Source organism: Homo sapiens, chromosome X (assembly GCF_000001405.40).
Source record: "Homo sapiens chromosome X, GRCh38.p14 Primary Assembly".
In the NCBI taxonomy this organism is placed as follows: Eukaryota; Metazoa; Chordata; class Mammalia; order Primates; family Hominidae; genus Homo; species Homo sapiens.
In genome coordinates this window covers 51,105,266-51,129,957 of record NC_000023.11, presented here as the reverse complement: position 1 = coordinate 51,129,957, position 24,692 = coordinate 51,105,266, and the positions used below count along the sequence as shown (strand labels likewise).

The window sequence follows — 24,692 nt, the reverse complement described above, 5'->3', positions numbered from 1 at the left end:
GATTCCTAACCTCAAGGATCTAGAGAGGAAAGTTAGGGCCCAATACAAGTCCCCCAGAGTTAGGGCAACAGTCCAGAAGTTGGGAGCTGAGCATTGGCCCCATAAAATCTTCCAGAAATAAAGCCAGTTGGCTGAATCCACCTTATGTCACAATCAAACTCGCAAGGTCATCAAATAGGATAAAAGAAAAAAAAACCCATCCAAAGGTCAGCAACCTGAAAGATTGAAGGATGATAAGCCCACAAAGATGAGAAAGAATCAGCACAAGAACCCTGATAACTCAAAAAGCCGTTTTTCCTCCAAATGATCTCATCACCACTCCAGCAAGGGTTCTAAACCAGGGTAAGTTGGCTGAAATGGCAGAAAGAGAATTCAGAATATTAACTGGTATGAAGATAACTGAGCTACAGGAGTACATTGAAACCCAATGCAGGGAAGCTAAAAATCACGATAAAAAATACAGGAGCTGACGGACAAAATAAACAGTATAGAAAAGAATGTAACTGGCCTGATGGAGCTGAAAAATACACTACAAGGATTTCACAATGCAATCACAAGTATTAGTAGCACAATAGACTAAACAGAGGAAAAAGTCTCAGAGCTTTAAGACTGGCTTTCTGAAATAAGTCAGTCAGACAGAATAGAGAAAAAAGAAACAGTGAACAAAACATCCAAGAAATGTGGAATTATGTAAAGAGAACCAAAGTACAACTCACTGGTATCCCTGAAAAAGATGGGGAGAATGGAACCAACCTGGAAAACATATTTCATGATATCATCCATGAGAACTTCCCCAACATAGCTAGAGAGGCCATCACTCAAATTCAGAAAATGCCGAGAACCACAATAAAATACTTCAAAAGGAGACCATCCCCAAGACACATAATCATCAGATTTTCCAAGGTCCGAATGAAAGTAAAAACGTTACAGGCAGCTAGAGAGAAAGCTACAGGTCACCTACAAAGGGAAGCACCTCAGACTAACAGCAGGCCTCTCAGCAGAAACCCTACAAGCCAGAAGAGATTGGGACCTATATTCAACATTCTTAAAGAAAAGAAATTCCAACCCAGAATTTCATACACAGCCTAACTAAGCTTCATACATGAAGGAGAAATAAGATCATATTCAGACAAGAAAATGCTGAGGGAATTTCTTACCACCAGACCTGCCTTACAAGAACTCCTGAAGGAAGCACTAAATATGGAAAGGAAAGACCATTATCAGCCACTACAAAAACAAACTGAAGTACACAGACCAGTGACACTATAAAGCAACCACATAAAGAAGTCTGCAAAATAACCAGCTAACATCATGATGACAGGATCAAATCCACACATATCAATACTAACCTTTGATGTAAATGGGCTAAATGCCCCAATGAAAAGGCATACAATGGCAAACTGGATAAAGAACACATTGGTATACTGTCTTCAAGACACCCATCTCACATGCAATGACACAGGCTCAAAATAAAAGGATGGAGAAAAATCTATCAAGCAAATGGAAAACAGGAAAAAAAAACAATGGTTTCAATCCTAATTTCAGACAAAACAGACTTTAAGCCAACGATCAAAAAAGAGAAAGTATGGCATTATCTAATGGTAAAGGGTTCAACACAACGAGACCTAATCACATTAAATATGTATGCTCTCAACACAGGAGGAGATTCACGGTTCTTAGAGATATTCAAAGAGACTTAAACTCCCACAAAATAATAGTAGGAGACTTTAACACCCCACTGACAATATCAGAGAGATCATCAAGACTGAAAATTAACAAGGATATTTGGGACCTGAACTCAGCACTGGATCAAATGGACATAATAGACATCTACAGAACTCTCCAACCAGAAACAACAGAAAGTATGTTCTTCTTATCACCACATGGCACTCTAAAATCAATCACATAATTGGAAGGAAAAAACTCCTCAGCATATTAAAAACAATTGCAATTGTAACAAACAATCTCTTGGACTACAGGGCAATCAAATTAGAAATCAAGACTAAGGAGTTCACTTAAAACCATAAATTTACATGGAAATTAAATAACCTGCTCCTGAATGACTTTTGGGTAAGTAATGACATTAAGGCAAAATCAAGAAGCTGAGTTCAGGTCCTGAATATCCTTGTTACTTTTCTGTCTCGTTAATCTGTCTAATATTCACTGTGGGATGTTAAAGTCTCACACTATTATTGTGTGGGAGTCTAAGTCTCTTTGTAGGTCTCTAAGAACTTGCTTTATGAATCTGGGTGCTCCTGTATTAGGTGCATATATATTTAGGATAGTTAGCTCTTCTTGTTGCATTGATCCCTTTATCATTATGTAATGCCCTTCTTTGACTTTTTTGATCTTTGTTAGTTTAAACTCTGTTTTATCAGAGACTAGGATTGCAACCACTCCTTTTTTTTTATAACCATTTGCTTGGTAAATCTTCCTCCATCCCTTTATTTTGAGCCTGTGTGTGTTTTCGCATGTGAGATGGGTCTTCTGAATACGGCACACTGATGGGTCTTGACTCTTTTTCCAATTTGCCAGTCTGTGCCTCTTAATTGGGGCATTAAGCCAGTTTACATTTAAGGTTAATATTATTATGTGTGAATTTGATCCTGTCATTATGATGCTAGCTGGTTATTTTTCCTATTAGTTAATGCAGTTTCTTCATAGTGTTGATGGTCTTTACATTTTGGTTTGTTTTTGCAGTGACTGGTACCGGTTTTTCCTTTCCATATTTAGTGCTTCCTTCAGGAGCTCTTGTAAGGCAGGCCTGGTGGTGACAAAATCCCTCAGCATTTGCCTGTCTGTAAAAGATTTTATTTCTCTTTCACTTATGAAGCTTAGTTTGGCTGGATATGAAATTCTGGGTTGAAAATTCTTTTCTTTAAGAATGTTGAATATTGGCCCCTACTCTCTTCTGCCTTGTAGGGTTTCTGCAGACAGAGCCGCTGTTAGTCTGATGGGCTTCCCTTTGTGGGTAACCTGACCTTTCTCTCTGGCTGCCCTTAACATTTTTTCCTTCATTTGAACTTTGGTGAATCTGATGATTATATGTCTTGGGGTTGTTATTCTCGAAGAGTATCTCTGTGGTGTTCTCTGTATTTTCTGAATTTGAATGTTGGCCTATCTTGCTAGGTTGAAGAAGTTCTCCTGGATAATATCCTGAAGAGTGTTTTCCAACTTGGTTCCATTCTCCCCGTCACTTTCAGGTACACCAATCAAATGTAGGTTTGGTCTTTTCACATAGTCCCATATTTCTTGGAGGCTTTGTTCGTTCCTTTTCATTCTTTTTTCTCTAATCTTGTCTTCACACTTTATTTCATTAAGTTGATCTTCAATCTCTGATATCTTTTCTTCCGCTTGGTCTATTTGGCTATGGATACTTGTGTATGCTTCACAAAGTTCTCGTGCTGTGTTTTTCAGCTCCATCAGGTCATTGATGTTTTTCTCTAAACTGGTTATTCTAGTTAGCAATTCCTCTGACATTTTATTAAGGTTCTTAGCTTCCTTGCATTGGGTTAGAACATGCTTCTTTAGCTTGGAAGACTTTGTTATTATCCACCTTCTGAAGCCTACTTCTGTCAATTCGTCAAACTCATTCTCCATCCAGTTTTGTTCTCTTGCTGGTGAGGAGTTGTGATCCTTTGGAGGGGAAGAGGCATTCTGATTTTTGGCATTTTCAGCCTTTTTGTGCTGGATTTTCCTCATCTTCGTGAATTTATCTACCTTTGGTCTTTGCCATTGGTGACCTTCGGATGGAGTTTTTGCATGGTTGTCCTTTTTTTCCATGTTGATGCTATTGCTTTCTGTTTTCCTTCTAACAGTCAGGCCCCTTGTCTGCAGGTCTGCTGGAGTTTGCTGGGTGTCCATTCCAGACCCTGTTTACCTGGATATCACCAGCAGAGGCTGCAGAACAGCAAAGATTACTGCCTGCTCCTTCCTCTGGAAACTTCATCCCAGAGGGGCACCCACCAGATGCCAGCCGGAGCTCTCCTGTATGAGGCGTCTGTCAACCCCTGCTGGGAGGTGTCTCCCCGTCAGGAGGCATGGCGGTCAGGGACCCACTTGAGGAGGCAGTCTGTTCCTTAGCAAAGTTTGAGCACTGTGCTGGGAGATCCACTGCTCTCTTCAGAGCTGGCAGGCAGGAACATTTAAGTCTGCTGAAGCTGTGCCCACAGCCACCCTTTCCCCCAGGTGCTCTGTCCCAGGGAGATGGGAGTTTTATCTATAAGCCCCTGACTGGGGCTGCTGCCTTTCTTTCAGAGATGCCCTGCCCAGAGAGGAGGAATCTAGAGAGGCAGTCTAGCTACTGTGGCTTTGCGGCGCTGTGGTGGGCTCCATCCATTCTGAACTTTCCGGTGGCTTTGTTTACACTGTGAGGGGAAAACCGCCTACAAGCCTCAGTAATGGTAGATGCCCCTCCCCCCACCAAGCTCGAGCACCCCAGGTTGATTTCAGACTGCTGTGCTGGCAGCCAGAATTTCAAGCCAGTGGATCTTAGTTTGCTGGGCTCTGTGGGGGTGGGATCCACTGAGCAGAACCACTTGGCTCCCTGGTTTCAGCCCCCTTTCCAGGGGAGTGAACAGTTCTGTCTCACTGGCATTCCAGGCGCCACTGGGGTACGAAAAAAATCTGTAGCTAGCTTGGTGTCTACTCAAACAGCTGTCCAGTTTTGTGCTTGAAACCCAGGGCCCTTGTGGTATAGGCACCTGAGGGAATCTCCTGGTCTGTGGGTTGCGAAGACCGTGGGAAAAGCATAGTATCTAAGCCAGATAGCACCATCCTTCACGGCAGGGTCCCTCAGGGCTTCCCTTGGCTAGGAGAGGGAGTTCCCCAACCCCTTGCACTTCCTGGGTGAGGCAACACCCCACCCTGCTTCTGCTCGCCCTCCGTGGGCTGCACCCACTGTCTAACCAGTCCAAATGAAATGAACCATGTACCTCAGTTGGAAATGCAGAAATCACCCACCTTCTGCATTGGTCTCGCTGGGAGTTGCAGACCGGAGCTGTTCCTATTCAGCCATCTTGCCTGAGAATCTATAAATATTTTTAAAGTACACAAAACAAATCTAGTCAACATTTTTTAAACAGTGAAGGAGAAAGATGTGATTATATGAGAGCAATGCCCTACCACTTGGCCCCTGCACCTGATGTTCCTTTAATGGCATGATCTCACTTATTGATCTTTATCATTTATTTTAATGACAAGAGAGGACTGAGTTTAAGTGCTAATTAGAGTGAACAAGCATAGAGGAGAGATAGAAAATAGAGGAGAGCAAAGAGATGAATAATAGAAGACATTTCCTGATAAGGTAGAGAAAAATGGGATCTGCTGCAGAGTTGTAGGGACTGGGCTTTGGTCAGAGTGGGAAAACCTATTCTATGCAGCAGGAGGGAGTGATAAGGAGATGTTTCGAGTGAAATTGAATTCCTACATCCAAGAGGATGTTGAGAGATTTCCCATAGAATGGCTTTTATTGATCCTTGAGGTAGGAAATAAAGTAATATTTTAAGAGTGAAGGGGCAAACAGGAACCCATGGTCAAATGTTTGAGGAGAAAGGAACAGGCTCAGAAGAGTTCTTGCATACATTGAAAAGATTTGCTGACATATGATCCATATTGTATAATTGTTCAGCATAGTGGAAAATCCACCTGCAGTTGGTGATCACAAATGTGGAATGGAACCAGTATGCCTGGCTGTGTGATTTTTATCCATGTGAATGAGAAAGTCCCAATGAAGGTAAGAAAGAGGTAGATGTTTGGGTTCATTTAAGGTTCTGTGTTGCTGAGTGGGTATGACAGTGAGGAATAAGGAAGTGGGTATGACATGGGGAATAAGGAAGTTTTGTGTATTAGCAAAAGAGTGAGTGAAAAATAGAAGGGTGGAATTCTAGAGAAGATTTTCTCAAGCTGTTGAGGATAAAACATCAACAAAATGGTGAAGTGGGCAGCTCCAGATGCTGTTCCTTCACAGTAACACTGAGAAATAAGCAGAAGTTAGAACGAAGTTGTCAGAACTCTGGCAAACAGTCGAAGTTTTATAGCAACACAAACAAAATGTGGTGAATCAAAAAGAAAGCAAATATGAAATGGTGGGAAAGCTTTGTGGTGTTTTACTTCACATTGCCCCGCCCCCTCCATGGCTCTGTAGCCATCTTAAAGATGGCAACCTGTGTTCCCAGTGTGAAACCCTGATTCTAGACTCTGGAGGAAGCAGAACAGACCATACTCACAGATTTTTCCATGTGTCTTTCCTAACCATCTGGGAGCTGCCTGAAGGAGTGACACAGGCAGTCATCTCTGTTTCACCTAATGTGGAGTCCACTCAGTGTGAGAAAGCAGCAGTCATTGCTGAAAAACATTGTGTGGATAACTAAAACCTGAAGCTTCCCTGGGCAAAATGCTATGATTGAGACATACAATAGACTGCCTAATGCCTCACAGGAAAGTCATGGGGAGCCTGTTTGAAAAGTTAGGGCATTGGCCAAGATGGATTACTACATCAGAAAAGGAGCTTATATTAAAAATATATATGAAACTCAAACTACTCATTAACAAGAAAACAAATATCTGAATTGAAAAAAAATGGGCAAAGGACCAGAGTAGACATTTCTCAAAAGAAGACATACAAATGACCAACAGATATATCAAATAATACTCAGTATCACTAATCATCAGAGAAATGCAGATCAAAAGTGCAGTGAGATGTCACCTCATACATGTTAGAATACCTATGATCAAAAAGATGAAAGGTAAGTGCTGATGCGGATGTGAAGAAAAGGGAACAATTGTATGCTGTTGATGGGAATGTGAATTAGTATAGCCATTTTGGAAAACAGTATGGAGGATCCACCCAAAAATAAAAATACAATTAGCGTATGATCCAGCAGTCCCCTTCTGGATATATATCCAAAGAAATGAAGTCAGTATGTCAAAGACATGACTACATTGCCATGTTCATCACATTATTACTCATAATAGCTGAGAAAAGAAAAGTTCATCACCTATCAACACGTGAATACATTTTTAACTATATATATATGTATCTCAAATGAAACAGTATTCAGCCATAAAAAAGAAGGAAGTTTTTTCCATTGTGACAACATGGATGAACCTAGAAGATAGTATGTTAAGTGAAATAAGCCAAGCACAAAAGATAAATATGACATGATCTCACTTATGTGGAATCTTAAAAAGTCAAACACATAGAAGTGGAGAGAAGAATGGTGGACTTGGGTTGGGTGTATGGGGAAAGGGGAAATGTTGGTCAAAGGGTGCAAAATTTCAGTTAGACATGAGGATTAAGTTCTGGTGATCTATTTCATTGAATGGTAACTGTAGTTAATAATAATGTATTGTATACTTAAAAATTATTTAAGGACTGGATTTTAATGTTGTCATTACAAAGAAATAATAAGTATGTGAAATTATGGATATTTAATTAGCCTGACTTGATCATTCAACAATATATTTCTGCATAGAAATATCACATTGTACCCCATGAATGTATACAATTTTTATTTTGAAATTAAAAATACTAAAAAGTGTATAAATGGATTAAACCCTCCAACCAAAAGACAAAGATTGCCATAAGTGATTTTTAAAAGCCATGATGAACTATATGCTTCCAACAGAAGACTCACTATAGATCGCAAAACACAAATAAGTTGAAAGTGAAAGGAAGCAAAAAGTTATTTCATGCAAACAGTAAAGAGAGCTGGGGGTAGCTATACTAATATTAGGCATTTTGGAACTGAGTAAAAAATTGTTACAAGAGACAGGGAAGGACATTACATAGTGATCAAAGGGTAAATTTACCTGGGAAATATGTCAGTGATAAACATAGGTGCATTTAACAACAGAGTCCCATGATGAATGAAGCAAAAATTGACTAATTTAAAAGGAAAAAATAGTTCTAAAACCATAGTTGAAGGGTTCAAACCTTATGTTCAATTATGAAATGGAACATGAATAACAGCATAAACCAACTAGATATAACAGATATATACAAAACAATCCACCCAGTTGCACCACAATGCACATTATTCTCAAGTACATGTGGAATATTCTCAAGTATAGGACATCTGTTAAGCCACAACACCTATGGCATAGGCATAGGGGGTGTATGGTAGGTCTCAATTAATTTAAAAAGACTGATTTCATACACAATATCTTCTCTGACCACAATTGAGTGAAGGTAGAAATCAATAACTGAAGGAAAGCTGTACAAATCACAAATATTTGGAAAGTAAACAACATACTCTGAAACAATGAATTAAGAAATCACAAAGCATATTAGAAAACACTGAAGAAGAAATGAAAATGAGAAAAAACAACATGATAAATAGTATAGGATGCAATGAAGTCAGTGCTCAGAGGGAAGTTTATCTGATATGTAATGTAAATGCCTACATTATAAAAGAAAGATCTCAAATGAACAACCTAGCTTTATACATTGAGAAACTATAAAATGAAGAGAAAACTAAATCTAAAGCTAGTAGAAGGATGGAAATAACAAAGATTAGAGTGGAGAGAAATGAAATAGAAAGTTAAAAAAACAACAGAGTTGTAGCTCAACTTACAACTTAAGAAAAATAAAACACACAAATAACCATAAGCTGAAATGAAAGCGAGCCTAGAAGCACATGGATTACTTAAACTGACACAGAGAACTAGAAAATCTCAAAAGACCTGTAACAAGTACAGACATAGAATCAGTAATTAAAAACCTCCCAATAAGGAAAAGTCCAGGCAAAGATAGCTTCACTCATGAATTCTACCAAATATTTAAAACAGAATTAAAACCAATCCTTTTAAAACTCTTTCAAGAATTAGAAGATGACAGAACACTTCTTAACTCACTCTAGAGGTCAGCCTGAATTATCCTGACACCAAAAGCAGATACATCTCAAAAAAGAAAACTATAGACCAATATCCCTTAATAATATGGGTGAAAAAAGTCAACAAATTAGTAGTAAATTGAATCCAACAGAATATTAAAGGGAGTATATACCATGACTAAACTGAATGTGTTCCAGAAATTCAAGGGCATTTCAATATACAAAAATCAATCAATGTAATGCACATTTATATAATGAAGAAGAAAAACCACAAGGTCATGCCAATGGATTCAGAGAATGCATTAAAAATCTATCATGCTTTTATGATAAAAACGTACAACAAACTAGGAAATAAAGGAAGCTTCCTCAATAGTATAAAGGACATTTATGACAGACTCACAGCTAGGATCATACTCAATGGTGAAAGACTGACTGCTTTCCCCTTAAGATTGGGAACAAGACAAGAATACGCACTTTTGCCACTTCTATTCAACATAGTACTGGAAGTTCCAGGAAGAGCAATCAGGTAAGATATAAAAGTAAGTCATCCAAATTGCAACAGGAAGTAAAATTCTGTGTATTCACAGATGATAAGATCTTATATAGCTCCCTCTCCCCCTCCCCCTCCCCCTCTCCCTCTCCCTCTCCACGGTCTCCCTCCGATGCCGAGCGGAGGCTGGACTGTACTGCCGCCATCTCGGCTCACTGCAACCTCCCTGCCTGATTCTCCTGCCTCAGCCTGCCGAGGGATTGCAGGCGCACGCCACCACACCTGACTGGTTTTTGTATTTTTTGGTGGAGACAGGGTTTTGCCATGTTGGCCGGGCTGGTCTCCAGCTCCTGACCACGAGTGATCTGCCAGCCTGGGCCTCCCGAGGTGCCGGGATTGCAGATGGAGTCTCGCTCACTCAGTGCTCAATCTTGCCCAGGCTGGAGTGCAGTGGCATGATCTTGGCTCACTACAACCTCCACCTCCCAGCCGCCTGCCTTGGCCTCCCAAAGTGCTGAGATTGCAGCCTCTTCCCGGCTGCCACCCCGCCTGGGAAGCGAGGAGCGTCTCTGCCTGGCCACCCATCATCTGGGATGTGAGGAGCCCCTTTGCCTGGCCGCCCAGTCTGGGAAGTGAGGAACGCCTCTTCCCGGCCGCCATCCCGTCTAGGAAGTGAGGAGCGTCTCTGCCCGGCCGCCCATCGTCTGAGATGTGGGGAGCGCCTCTGCCCCGCCGCCCCATCTGGGATGTGAGGAGCACCTCTGCCCGGCCGCGACCCCGTCTGGGATCTGAGGAGTGTCTCTGCCCAACCGCCACCCCGTCTGGGATGTGAGGAGCGCCTCTGCCCAACCGTGACCCCGTCTGGGAACTGAGGAGTGTCTCTGCCCCACCACCACCCTGTCTGGGAGGTGAGGAGCATGTCTGCCCGTCCGCCCCGTCTGAGAAGTGAGGAGCCCCTCCACCTGGCAGCTGCCCCGTCTGGGAAGTGAGGAGCGTCTCCGCCCGGCAGCCACCCTGTCCAGGAGGAGGGAGGCAGCCCCCGCCCGGCCAGCTGCCCCATCCGGGAGGTGGGTTGCAGCCCCCGCCTGGCCAGCCGCCCTGTCCAGGAGGGAGGTGGGGGCAGCCCCCGCCCAGCCAGCCACCCCATCCGGGAGGGAGGTGGGGGGCAGCCCCCACCTGGCCAGCCGCCCCGTCGGGGAAGTGGGGGGCAGCCCCCGCCCAGCCAGCCGCTCCGTCCGGGAGGGAGGTGGGGGGCAGCCCCCGCCCAGCCAGCCACCCCATCTGGGAGGTGGGGGGCAGCCAGCCCGGCCAGCCGCCCCATCCGGGAGGGAGGTGGGGGGCAACCCCCGCCCAGCCAGCCGCCCCATTCGGGAGGTGGGGGGCAGCCCCTGCCCAGCAGCAACCCCACCAGGGAGGTGGGGGGCGCCTCTGCCCGGCCGCCGCCCTGTCCGGGAGGTGGGGGCGCATCTGCCCGGCCACCCCGTCTGGGAAGTGAGGAGCCCCTCTGCCCGGCTGCCACCCTGTCTGGGAGGTGTACCCAACAGCTCATTGAGAACGGGCCATGATGACGATGGCGGTTTTGTCGAATAGAAAAGGGGGAAATGTGGGGAAAAGAAAGAGAGATCAGATTGTTACTGTGTCTGTGTAGAAAAAAGTAGACATAGGAGACTCCCATTTTGTCCTGTACTAAGAAAAATTCTTCTCCCTTGGGATGCTATTAATCTATAACCTTACCCCCAACCCCGTGCTCTCTGAAACATGTGCTGTGTCCACTCAGGGTTAAATGGATTAAGGGAGGTGCAAGATGTGCTTTGTTAAACAGATGCTTGAAGGCAGCATGCTCGTTAAGAGTCATCACCAATCCCTAATCTCAAGTACCCAGGGACACAAACACTGTGGAAGGCTGCAGGGCCCTCTGCCTAGGAAAACCAGAGACCCTTGTTCACATGTTTATCAGCTGACCTTCCCTCCACTATTGTCCTATGACCCTGCCAAATCCCCTCTCCGAGAAACACCCAAGAATGATCAATAAATACTAAAAAGAAAAAAAAAAGCATATCCAAAAAAAAAAAAAGATCTTATATAGAGATTTTCCTAAAGAGTCTACAAAAAATGTAAACCAAATTCAGAAAAGTTACAGGGTTCAAGAAAAAAACACACAAAAAGTTTTATGCCTGTACACTAGTATAAAAATCTGAAAAGGAAATCAGTAAACCAGTTCCATTTAAAATAGCATCCAAAAAATACAATATTTACAAATAAATTTAATCAAGGACGTGAAACACTTGTACACTGGAAACAACAAAACATTGTTGAAAGTAAGACAAGAAAACCTAAATAAATGGAAAGCTATCTCATGCGCATGGTTTGGAAGACTTAAATATTGTTCAGGTGACAATAATAACCAAAGCAATCTACAGATTAAATGTAATAGCTATCAAAATATCAACAGGAATTTTTGCCGAAATGGAAAAGCTAATCCTAAAATTCCCATGGAATTGTAAGTGGCCCCTAGTCCCCAAAACAATCTTGAACAAGAAGAAAAAAAATTAGAAAACTTAACATTCCCTGATTTCAAAACTTGTGACAAAGCTACAGTAATCAGAATAGTGTGGTACTGGCATATGCATAGACATATAAATCAATAGACTAGAGTTGAGATTCCAGAAATAAACACATATATCTGTGGACAACTGATTTTTGAGAAGGGTGTCAAGTCCATTCAAAAGAAAAAGAATGTTCTTTTTTTTTAATCTAATTTTATTATTATTATACTTTAAGTTTTAGGGTACATGTGCACAATGTGCAGGTTTGTAACATATGTATACATGTGCCATGCTGGTGTGCTGCACCCATTAACTCGTCATTTAGCATTAGGTATATCTCCTAATGCTATAACTCCCCCGTCCCCCCAACCCACAACAGTCCCTAGAGTGTGATGTTACCCTTCCTGTTTCCATGTGTTCTCATTGTTCAATTCCCACCTATGAGTGAGAACATGCAGTGTTTGGTTTTTTGTCCTTGCGATAGTTTACTGAGAATGATGATTTCCAATTTCATCCATGTCCCTACAAAGGACACGAACTCATCATTTTTTATGGCTGCATAGTATTCCATGGTGTATGTGTGCCACATTTTCTTAATCCAGTCTATCATTGTTGGACATTTCGCTTGGTTCTAAGTCTTTGCTATTGTGAATAGTGCCGCAATAAACATACGTGTGCATGTGTCTTTATAGCAGCATGATTTATAGTCCTTTGGGTATATACTCAGTAATGGGATGGCTGGGTCAAATGGTATTTCTAGTTCTAGATCCCTGAGGAATCGCCACACTGACTTCCACAATGGTTGAACTAGTTTACAGTCCCACCAACAGTGTAAAAGTGTTCCTATTTCTCCACATCCTCTCCAGCACCTGTTGTTTCCTGACTTTTTAATGATTGCCATTCTAACTGGTGTGAGATGGTATCTCATTGTGGTTTTGATTTGCATTTCTCTGATGGCCAGTGATGATGAGCATTTTTTCATGTGTTTTTTGGCTGCATAAATGTCTTCTTTTGAGAAGTGTCTGTTCATGTCCTTCACCCGCTTTTTGATGGGGTTGTTTGTTTTTTTCTTGTAAATTTGTTTGAGTTCATTGTAGATTCTGGATGTTAGCCCTTTATCAGATGAGTAGGTTGTGAAAATTTTCTCCCATTTTGTAGGTTGCCTGTTCACTCTGATGGTAGTTTCTTTTGCTGTGCAGAAGCTCTTTAGTTTAATTAGATCCCATTTGTCAATTTTGTCTTTTGTTGCCATTGCTTTTGGTGTTTTAGACATGAAGTCCTTGTCCATGCCTATGTCCTGAATGGTAATGCCTAGGTTTTCTTCTAGGGTTTTTATGGTTTTAGGTCTAACGTTTAAGTCTTTAATCCATCTTGAATTGATTTTTGTATAAGGTGTAAGGAAGGGATCCAGTTTCAGCTTTCTACATATGACTAGCAAGTTTTCCCAGCACCATTTATTAAATAGGGAATCCTTTCCCCATTGCTTGTTTTTCTCAGGTTTGTCAAAGATCAGATAGTTGTAGATATGTGGCGTTATTTCTGAGGGCTCTGTTCTGTTCCGTTGATCTATATCTCTGTTTTGATACCAGTACCATGCTGTTTTGCTTACTATAGCCTTGTAGTATAGTTTGAAGTCAGGTAGCGTGATGCTCCAGCTTTGTTCTTTTGGCTTAGGATTGACTTGGCTATGCGGGCTCTTTTTTGATTCCATATGAACTTTAAAGTAGTTTTTTCCAATTCTGTGAAGAAAGGCATTGGTAGCTTGATGGGGATGGCATTGAATCTATAAGTTACCTTGGGCAGTATGGCCATTTTCATGATATTGATTCTTCCTACCCATGAGCATGGAATGTTCTTCCATTTGTTTGTATCCTCTTTAATTTCATTGAGCAGTGGTTTGTAGTTCTCCTTGAAGAAATCCTTCACATCCCTTGTAAGTTGGATTCCTAGGTATTTTATTCTCTTTGAAGCAATTGTGAATGGGAGTTCACTCATGATTTGGCTCTCTGTTTGTCTGTTATTGGTGTATAAGAATGCTTGTGATTTTTGTACATTGATTTTGTATCCTGAGACTTTGCTGAAGTTGCTTATCAGCTTAAGGAGATTTTGGGCTGAGATGATGGGGTTTTCTAGATATACAATCATGTCGTCTGCAAACAGGGACAATTTGACTTCCTCTTTTCCTAATTGAATACCCTTTATTTCCTTCTCCTGCCTGATTGCCCTGGCCAGAACTTCCAACACTATGTTGAATAGGAGTGGTGAGAGAGGGCATCCCTGTCTTGTGCCAGTTTTCAAAGGGAATGCTTCCAGTTTTTGCCCATTCAGTATGATATTGGCTGTGGGTTTGTCATAGATAGCTCTTATTATTTTGAGATACGTCCCATCAATACCTAATTTATTGAGAGTTTTTAGCATGAAGAGTTGTTGAATTTTGTCAAAGGCCTTTTCTGCATCTATTGAGATAATCATGTGGTTTTTGTCTTTGGTTCTGTTTATATGCTGGATTACATTTATTGTTTTGTGTATATTGAACCAGCCTTGCATCCCAGGGATGAAGCCCACTTGATCATGGTGGATAAGCTTTTTGATGTGCTGCTGGATTCAGTTTGCCAGTATTATATTGAGGATTTTTGCATCAATGTTCATTGAGGCTATTGGTCTAAAATTCTCTTTTTTGGTGGTGTCTCTGCCCGGCTTTGGTATCAGGATGATGCTGGCCTCATAAAATGAGTTAGGGAGGATTCCCTCTTTTTCTATTGATTGGAATAGTTTCAGAAGGAATGGTACCAGTTCCTCCTTGTACCTCTGGTACAATTCGGCTGTGAATCCATCTGGTCCTGGACTCTTTTTGGTTGGTAAGCTATTGATTATTGCCACAATTTCAGCTCCTGTTATTGGTCTATTCAGAGATTCAACTTCTTCCTGGTTTAGTCTTGGGAGGGTGTATGTGTCGAGGAATTTATCCATTTCTTCTAGATTTTCTAGTTTGTTTGCGTAGAGGTGTTTGTAGTATTCTCTGATGGTAGTTTGTATTTCTGTGGGATCAGTGGTGATATCCCCTTTATCATTTTTTATTGCGTCTATTTGATTCTTCTTTCTTTTCTTCTTTATTAGTCTTGCTAGCGGTCTATCAATTTTGTTGATCCTTTCAAAAAACCAGCTCCTGGATTCATTAATTTTTTGAAGGGTTTTTTGTGTCTCTCTTTCCTTCAGTTCTGCTCTGATTTTAGTTATTTCTTGCCTTCTGCTAGCTTTTGAATGTGTTTGCTCTTGCTTTTCTAGCTCTTTTAATTCTGATTTTAAGGTGTCAATTTTGGATCTTTCCTGCTTTCTCTTGTGGGCATTTAGTGCTATAAATTTCCCTCTACACACTGCTTTGAATGCCTCCCAGAGATTCTGGTATGTTGTGTCTTTGTTCTCGTTGGTTTCAAAGAACATCTTTATTTCTGCCTTCATTTCGTTATGTACCCAGTAGTCACTCAGGAGCAGGTTTTTCGGTTTCCACGTAGTTGAGCGGTTTTGAGTGAGTTTCTTAATACTGAGTTCTAGTTTGATTGTACTGTGGTCTGAGAGACAGTTTGTTATAATTTGTGTTCTTTTACATTTGCTGAGGAGAGCTTTACTTCCAACTATGTGGTCAATTTTGGAATAGGTGTGGTGTGGTGCTGAAAAAAATGTATATTCTGTTGATTTGGGGTGGAGAGTTCTGTAGATGTCTATTAGGTCCACTTGGTGCAGAGCTGAGTTCAATTCCTGGGTATCCTTGTTAACTTTCTGTCTCGTTGATCTGTCTAATGTTGACAGTGGGGTGTTCAAGTCTCTGATTATTATTGTGTGGGAATCTAAGTCTCTTTGTAGGTCACTCAGGACTTGCTTTATGAGTCTGGGTGCTCCTGTGTTGGGTGCATATATATCTAGGATAGTTAGCTCTTCCTGTTGAATTGATTCCTTTACCATTATGTAATGGCCTTCTTTGTCTCTTTTGATCTTTGTTGGTTGAAAGTCTGTTTTATCAGAGACTAGGATTGCAACCCCTGCCCTTTTTTGTTTTCCATTTGCTTGGTAGACCTTCCTCCATCCTTTTATTTTGAGCCTCTGTGTGTCTCTGCACGTGAGATGGGTTTCCTGAATACAGCACACTGATAGATCTTGACTCTTTATCCAATTTGCCAGTCTGTGTCTTTTAATTGGAGCATTTAGTCCATTTACATTTAAAGTTAATATTGTTATGTGTGAATTTGATCCTGTCATTATGATGTTAGCTGGTTATTTTGCTCGTTAGTTGATGCAGTTCCTTCCTAGCCTCAATGGTCTTTACAATTTGTCATGATTTTGCAGTGGCTGGTACCAGTTGTTCCTTTCCACGTTTAGTGCTTCCTTCAGGAGCTCTTTTAGGGCAGACCTGGTGGTGACAAAATCTCTCAGCATTTGCTTGTCTGTAAAGTATTTTATTTCTCCTTCACTTATGAAGCTTAGTTTGGCTGGATATGAAATTCTGGTTGAAAATTCTTTTCTTTAAGAATGTTGAATATTGGCCCCCACTCTCTTCTGGCTTGTAGGGTTTCTGCCGAGAGATCCACTGTTAGTCTGATGGGCTTCCCTTTGAGGGTAGCCCGACCTTTCTCTCTGGCTGCCCTTAACATTTTTTCCTTCATTTCCACTTTGGTGAATCTGACAATTATGTGTCTTGGAGTTGCTCTTCTCGAGGAGTATCTTTGTGGCGTTCTCTGTATTTCCTGAATCTGAACGTTGGCCTGCCTTGCTAGATTGGGGAAGTTCTCCTGGATAATATCCTGCAGAGTGTTTTCCAACTTGGTTCCATTCTCCCCATGACTTTCAGGTACACCAATCAGACGTAGATTTGGTCTTTTCACATAGTCCCATATCTCTTGGAGGCTTTGCTCATTTCTTTTTATTCTTTTTTCTCTAAACTTCCCTTCTTGCTTCATTTCATTCTAAGGCTGGTTCAATATATGCAAATCAATAAATGTAATCCAGCATATAAACAGAGCCAGAGACAAAAACCACATGATTATCTCAATAGATGCAGAAAAAACCTTTGACAAAATTCAACAACCCTTCATGCTAAAAACTCTCAATAAATTAGGTATTGATGGGACGTATTTCAAAATAATAAGAGCTATCTATGACAAACCCACAGCCAATATCATACTGAATGGGCAAAAACTGGAAGCGTTCCCTTTGAAAACTGGCGCAAGACAGGGATGCCCTCTCTCACCACTCCTATTCAACATAGTGTTGGCAGTTCTGGCCAGGGCAATTAGGCAGGAGAAGGAAATAAAGGGTATTCAATTAGGAAAAGAGGAAGTCAAATTGTCCCTGTTTGCAGACGACATGATTGTATATCTAGAAAACCCCATTGTCTCAGCCCAAAATCTCCTTAAGCTGATAAGCAACTTCAGCAAAGTCTCAGGATACAAAATCAATGTACAAAAATCACAAGCATTCTTATACACCAACAACAGACAAACAGAGAGCCAAATCATGAGTGAACTCCCATTCACAATTGCTTCAAAGAGAATAAAATACCTAGGAATCCAACTTACAAGGGATATGAAGGACCTCTTCAAGGAGAACTACAAACCACTGCTCAAGGAAATAAAAGAGGATACAAACAAATGGAAGAATATTCCGTGCTCATGGGTAGGAAGAGTCAATATCGTGAAAATGGCCATACTGCCCAAGGTAATTTATAGACTCAATGCCGTCCCCATCAAGCTACCAATGACTTTCTTCACAGAATTGGAAAAAACTACTTTAAAGTTCATATGGAATCAAAAAAGAGCCCGCATTGCCAAGTCAATCCTTAACCAAAAGAACAAAGCTGGAGGCATCACACTACCTGACTTCAAACTATACTACAAGGCTACAGTAACCAAAACAGCATGGTACTGGTACCAAAACAGAGATATAGATCAATGGAACAGAACAGAGCCCTCAGAAGTAACGCCGCATATCTACAACTATCTGATCTTTGACAAACCTGAGAAAAACAAGCAATGGGGAAAGGATTCCCTATTTAATAAATGGTGCTGGGAAAACTGGCTAGCCATATGTAGAAAGCTGAAACTGGATCCCTTCCTTACACCTTATACAAAAATCAATTCAAGATGGATTAAAGACTTAAACGTTAGACCTAAAACCATAAAAACCCTAGAAGAAAACCTAGGCATTACCATTCAGGACATAGGCATGGACAAGGACTTCATGTCTAAAACACCAAAAGCAATGGCAACAAAAGACAAAATTGACAAATGGGATCTAATTAAACTAAAGAGCTTCTGCACAGCAAAAGAAACTACCATCAGAGTGAACAGGCAACCTACAAAATGGGAGAAAATTTTTGCAACCTACTCATCTGACAAAGGGCTAATATCCAGAATCTACAATGAACTCAAACAAATTTACAAGAAAAAAACAAACAACCCCATCAAAAAGCGGGTGAAGGACATGAACAGACACTTCTCAAAAGAAGACATTTATGCAGCCAAAAAACACATGAAAAAATGCTCATCATCACTGGCCATCAGAGAAATGCAAATCAAAACCACAATGAGATACCATCTCACACCAGTTAGAATGGCAATCATTAAAAAGTCAGGAAACAACAGGTGCTGGAGAGGATGTGGAGAAATAGGAACACTTTTACACTGTTGGTGGGACTGTAAACTAGCTCAACCATTGTGGAAGTCAGTGTGGCGATTCCTCAGGGATCTAGAACTAGAAATACCATTTGACCCAGCCATCCCGTTACTGGGTATATACCCAAAGGACTATAAATCATGCTGCTATAAAGACACATGGACACGTATGTTTATTGCGGCATTATTCACAATAGCGAAGACTTGGAACCAACCCAAATGTCCAACAATGATAGACTGGATTAAGAAAATGTGGCACATATACACCATGGAATACTATGCAGCCATAAAAAATGATGAGTTCATGTCCTTTGTAGGGACATGGATGAAATTGGAAATCATCATTCTCAGTAAACTATCACAAGAACAAAAAACCAAACACCGCATGTTCTCACTCATAGGTGGGAATTGAACAATGAGATCACATGGACACAGGAAGGGGAATATCACACTCTGGGGACTGTTGTGGGGTGGGGGAGGGGGGAGGGATAGCATCGGGTGATATACCTAATGCTAAATGACGAGTTAATGGGTGCAGCGCACCAGCATGGCACATGTATACATATGTAACTAACCTCCACGTTGTGCACATGTACCCTAAAACTTAAAGTATAATAAAAGAAAAAAAAGAAAAAAATAAATAAGTAAATAAATAAATTTTAGTGGATTACTTTGCAAATGTGATCTAATAGTTGACATTTTATTCAGCTACTTTCAGAAATATTTAATGTCTAGTTCTTTATAACTGATAATTGTGAAATTGGGGATTATGTTCTCATTTTCATTGTGCAAAGTAAGATAGTATGTTAAATTTTATGTGTTGATGAAAGGTTAGAAGGAAGAAATCTCCTTGCTTGTTTTAATCTTCCTTTTTTTGCCATGGTCCTTCATTTCTGCTGTTTCTCAAATTCTTACTAATATGAGCATCTAATCCATGGAGATTTTTTAACATCTGCAGAGGATGCATGTGTGAGAGACTGTGTGGGGGGGCTCTTGCTCTCTTCTATCCTTCTGATATGCTGTGCAGACGTGTTACTCGTAGCAACTGACTGAGGAGAGAATAATCACTTTTTTCTTTGGTAGCTGCAAATTGTGTAACTGTTTGAGCCATGGAGTTTTTTGCTTATGTAGCTTGTTCCCAGCTGGATCTAAGCTGGGAAACCAATAATTATTGCTGCCTTCCTGAGAATTTCTACATTTGCCATTTTCTTTCGGAGAACTATCCTTGGTGTGAGTATATGAACTTACTGTAGAGATATACTCTTAATCATAAATAAAAAGAAATTATTTAAAACAATTCATGGTTTTGGACTTCATTATGAATATTGAGTTTCACAAAAATCAGGTAAATGATTTATTAGCATGATAATTATGACAACCATTTACATTATAAAAATTAAATAGATAGGTGTTTGTTTAAGAGAATGCAAACAGATCTTTTGGTCAAAAATAAGTTTTTTACCTTTGCGCTCTTTATCAGATATAGATTATGAAGTGTCACCACTTAAATAGGAAATCCTTTCTAAACCTTTCTGATTTATATTTCTATTGTATGGGTGGAAGGAAAGCTTCCACTCTCCTCTCCAAAGGTTCACTGCAGACATGAACTGACAATACACAGCTTAAGAGGATAAGATAAACCATACAAACTTATTAACAGGCATAAACATGAGAGCCATACAAAATATACAAAATGTGAGACTGCAAGAAGGGCCAGAAGGTTAAAGCTTAAACAGCACCCTCTTCACTGGGGAAAGGGAGATGGAGACGTAGGCAATTTAGAGGGGCAGTAAATGATTTTTAGGGGAAATGAAACAGCCCAAGCAACAAACAATTGGCCTGGGACAAAGTTCCTCTGAGATGTGAGGGAGGTGGTGACAAGTTGCAAGAAGGTGAGGGGCAGAATGGCACTTTGAACAAAGGTTGTCTTATGATGCAGATAAAGTCCCAGGTAATCTCTTGGAACTGCTCTCTGAAGAATAAATGAAAAGTATGTCTAGGCAAGGTAATGACTTTTAATTTTTTCTCTTCTCCAGTGATTAATCTTTCATGGTTACTTCATGAAATTCCTAGGAGGGAATTTTAAGACAATTATATTTCTTCTGGAGGAACTTCCATTAATTAGATAAAGAAACTTCAGAAAAAGCCCCTCTTAGAGATTCCAGGACGGATCAGCAATATAGTGGGTAGGAGAAGTTCAGAAGGAGACCTTGGGTTCTGAGGCTTATTTCTGAGGCCTTACAATCTCCACTAATTCGAAGCCGTGAGTATGCCAAAGCATCATCTTCTGGAGTATTGTCTTCTGAGAGTCAACACTATGAAGTTATTATGTTGAACTAAATGATTATTATAATTTCATTGGATTACAAGTTTTGCTATTTTATCAAGAACTATAAATATTTCTTAATATGATTTGATATAAAATTTGATTTTCTTTCTTCTTGTTGCAGATAAGGCCTTCAGTATATCAAGGTAAGATTTTTAGGTATCTATTTCTTTTCTTTTTTTTTTTTTTTTTTTTTTTAGACGGAGTCTCTCTGTCGCCCAGGCTGGAATGCAGTGGCATGATCTCGGCTCACTGCAAGCTCTGCCTCCCGGGGTTCACATCATTCTCCTGCCTCAGCCTCCCAAGTAGCTGGGACTACAGGCACCCACCACCATGCCCAGCTAATTTTTTTTTCGTATTTTTAGTAGAGATGGCGTTTCACTGTGTTAGCCAGGATGGTCTCAATCTCCTGACCTCGTGACCTGCCCACCTTGGCCTCCCAAAGTGCTGGGATTACAGGTGTGAGCCACTGTGCTTGGCCGTGTCTATTTCTTTTCAATATTTTCTCACACTAGTATTTCATGTGGGCTCAAATTCAACTGGGAGTAAATACAATGAATCCTTATATCCGGTTGATCCGGTTGACTTCTTACTTCTTGAAAATTTTACTCTTCCTGGGTTAAAGTCTAAATGACAACATAGATGGAGTTACCATTTATTGAGATAAGAGAGTAGGAGGAGGAAGAGATCATAAGAGTAGAGAGAATAGGATGAGTTTAGCTTATCACAGCAATATTTAAGAAGCAAGTGCTGATATGAATTTGAAGTGTGGCAGGAATACTTTTGCATGACCTGGCTCTTGGAGAAATGGAAAGATGATTAAGACACTACCTGAGCCTAGAGAAAAATCCAGATATTGCTGAACAAAATGTGTATCATATTAGAGGTTTATAACATGTGTTTTGAGTGTTAAGTGAAGAGGGCCATTAATGCCAATGTAGAATATGTGGAAATGAATTTGATGTACAATGTGGAGAATGAATTCTGCACATTCTTCATAGACTGTGAAGATTACCTGTTGCTGTCTGTTGAGAGCTGCACTGTCTGGCACATAGTAGGCCCTCAGAGGCTAGGGTTGGTTACAGTGATTACAACGTTGGTAGTATTGAGAAGAGGGACCTCAAGGCAGCAAAGCTCTTACAATGGGCAAATAGAAAAGAAGATTGCACTTTGGGGTCAGATGAGAGGATTAAATGCCTGGCAGTGGGGTCTGGAATTGTGGGCTGTGTGCCAAGTGTTTTATGTTCCACCTATAGGATGGGAGCTTCCTGCATGCTGTTGATGTCTATGGTGGGTGGTGACATTCTCATCCTGGGCATGAAAGGCTTGTCTTAGAGGGCTTGTGAATCATCCAGATCCTGGAGAGACTAAGTGGTAAACCTGAGATTGTACCTAAGCTTGTTGGATTTCATACACCACGTCACAGAAGCCCCTGCACTGGTTCTCAAGAAGGACAGCCTGCTGGGCAGCAGGAGAACACTGGAGGCTTTTGAATAGCCAATCAGTTGATACTTTGAATGTTCCTTCTATGGAATTGCAAAGAGTGACTGGAAGTGAATCAAGCCTGCCAAAATGAGGGGCTTTTTTGAAGGGACCTATTTATTTGCCTTGATAATTAGAGGACAGAAGAGTTATAGATAGGATATTTAATTTTCACTGTGTTTCATCTCTGATGATGGTAAAACTGTTTGAACTGATGGAATTTTCCAAGAAGAATAGTGGCTATTGATGGAGAGCAATTAGGCAAAGACTAAATGTTTCCCAATATTTGGAAAATTATCAAATAGGATTCTCATTGAAATAGGGTTGTTATTTTCATATTTCTTTTCTTAGGCTCAAAAAGCAATTAACTAACTTGCTATCTTCAAGTGCAATAATAAAGCTAAAAAAAGTTATTTTATGATCATAGTGCCAGATAGTGTGTGATTGCAGCTAATACATTAGGGTAATTCAATTTTATGAGGTTTTCCTAATCTTAGAGATTGTTTTTATCTTCTTTTAGTTAATTTACAACCAGTTTCTGAGAAGATTAATGTCAAGAAGGAAAAGTCAGAACTTGTAGAAGAAATATACATTTGGGAACAGAAAGTATCATTGTCTTTTCAATTTTTTAATTTTTCATGGTTTCACTTTAAATAGCTCCCACCTCCCACAATTCTGTTATTTTGGTCCTTCCCCTTTCACTTAGTGTCCTAGTTCATATGGTCTATAAACTGTCCACATTCAAAGTAAGCTTCATATATGTAAAGTACTGTTGTTTTCATTTGTGTTAGGAGTTACATAGTTCAAGATAGGTTTTTCTAGCAGTATAATATTTTTAAATTCTGGTTTTTATTACATATTTATATAGATCAGTGGATCAAAGAAACATCCTCAAGAAACTAAGAAACAACACAAGATTCTCTCTGATGAAATGCTTAAGTATAAGGTAAAATCCCTTGTTTTTGCCTGGATTACAGTCTAAAAACAGAAAGAAGAGTAATGAATAATTGTTAATGATTTCATATGTTTTATTGAAGGATAACATCAAAAACTTTGAAGGAAAAATAACATTTTGAATGATGTCATTCAAAGTACATGTTCCCAGTTGCAATTGAGAGGGATCAGCATGTCAAAAGTCTGAACTTGATAAGAATTTGGCTGCTAAATTGTACCATGATTCAATTTGGCTTTTGAGCCTTTTTGTCCATTGGGTGAATTGAGCTCTACATTTTATCTTGCTGCCCGCCACAGTAAAAGTGTGGGTGTCTGGGGGCTGAACCTTCTTCTGAACAATGACCTGGAATAAAAGTACTAATACCACAATGACTTTTTATATTAAAGGGAATAGGAAGTGTGTTTTATTTTTACAATATAGGTAATTGTCACATTATTTGGCACTGCCCTTCAAGATATACAGAAAACAGAAAATATATGAGTGATGAAGATATCTAGGCACATTGAACAGTCCCTACCCCACTTAGTGCTGAACAGAGAATGTTTCAGTGTGAATTGGGGGAAGTTTTTCTTTACGTGCCTCTTTTTAAATATTCCATTAAGAAAAGTTCAGTTGAGCTGTTTGACTTGAACAATTTCGCATTGTCTCTACTTTCTCCTTGTCATCTACTCACTTATCCCATTATCTTGTAAGCAGGAATATCATGGGTGCCACAAAATGTTCATGCCTCATGGTGTTTCTTTGCTCTTCATTTATAAATGTGCTCAACATTTCTCCTATCCTCATACTGGGCCAGCTACTTCCCCATGAAATATAGCAGTAGCTGTGGGATAGGCATGGTTGCTGTTTCATCTTTTTAGCAGACCATTTGGTGCATCTACTGAAATCCTGGTACATGTTTTGCTTCTATCCTATATGCAAAAGTTGGAAACAAAATTCTACAAAGAACTTGAAAGATGTTATTTCAATGAATACCTCAGGAATTTCAGAGGTAAATGACCCACATCTGCCACAAGACTTTCATTGCATCTTAGCTATGAGGAGAACAAATATTTCATGTCTTAGAAGATTAAAATCATATGATATCCACATGGAATTCTTTGTTTGTGGAAATTAAGTCATTAGTGAGAATATTTCGCATCAGGTTCAAACTGGCCTTAATGAAGGTGGTGTCAGGGAAGGGAAAGTGGAATCTGAAGTAGGGCAGGGACAGAAGGGAGGTACTCCGCTGAAGATCAAGAAGGAGCAGGTGGTGAAATGTTACAAATTATAGAACTCAGAGAGCTAAGTATAATTACTTGCTTTTCAAATTGTTAAACATTTTTACCTGTGGTAAAATATTCATAACATAATAATTACCATCTTAACCATGTTTTAGTGTACAGTTCAGTTGT

At 40.2% G+C, this 24,692-nt stretch overlaps 1 long non-coding RNA gene across 1 annotated transcript in view; it reads left to right on the top strand.

Moving 5' to 3' along the window:
- LINC01284 (long intergenic non-protein coding RNA 1284) overlaps positions 1-24,692 on the top strand; it is a 75,586-nt gene that overhangs the window by 41,464 nt on the left and 9,430 nt on the right. Inside the window, exons 2-3 of the long non-coding RNA NR_110382.2 lie at positions 20,986-21,007; positions 23,212-23,289. This is a non-coding gene — a long non-coding RNA (long intergenic non-protein coding RNA 1284). The remainder of the gene's footprint in view (positions 1-20,985; positions 21,008-23,211; positions 23,290-24,692) is intronic.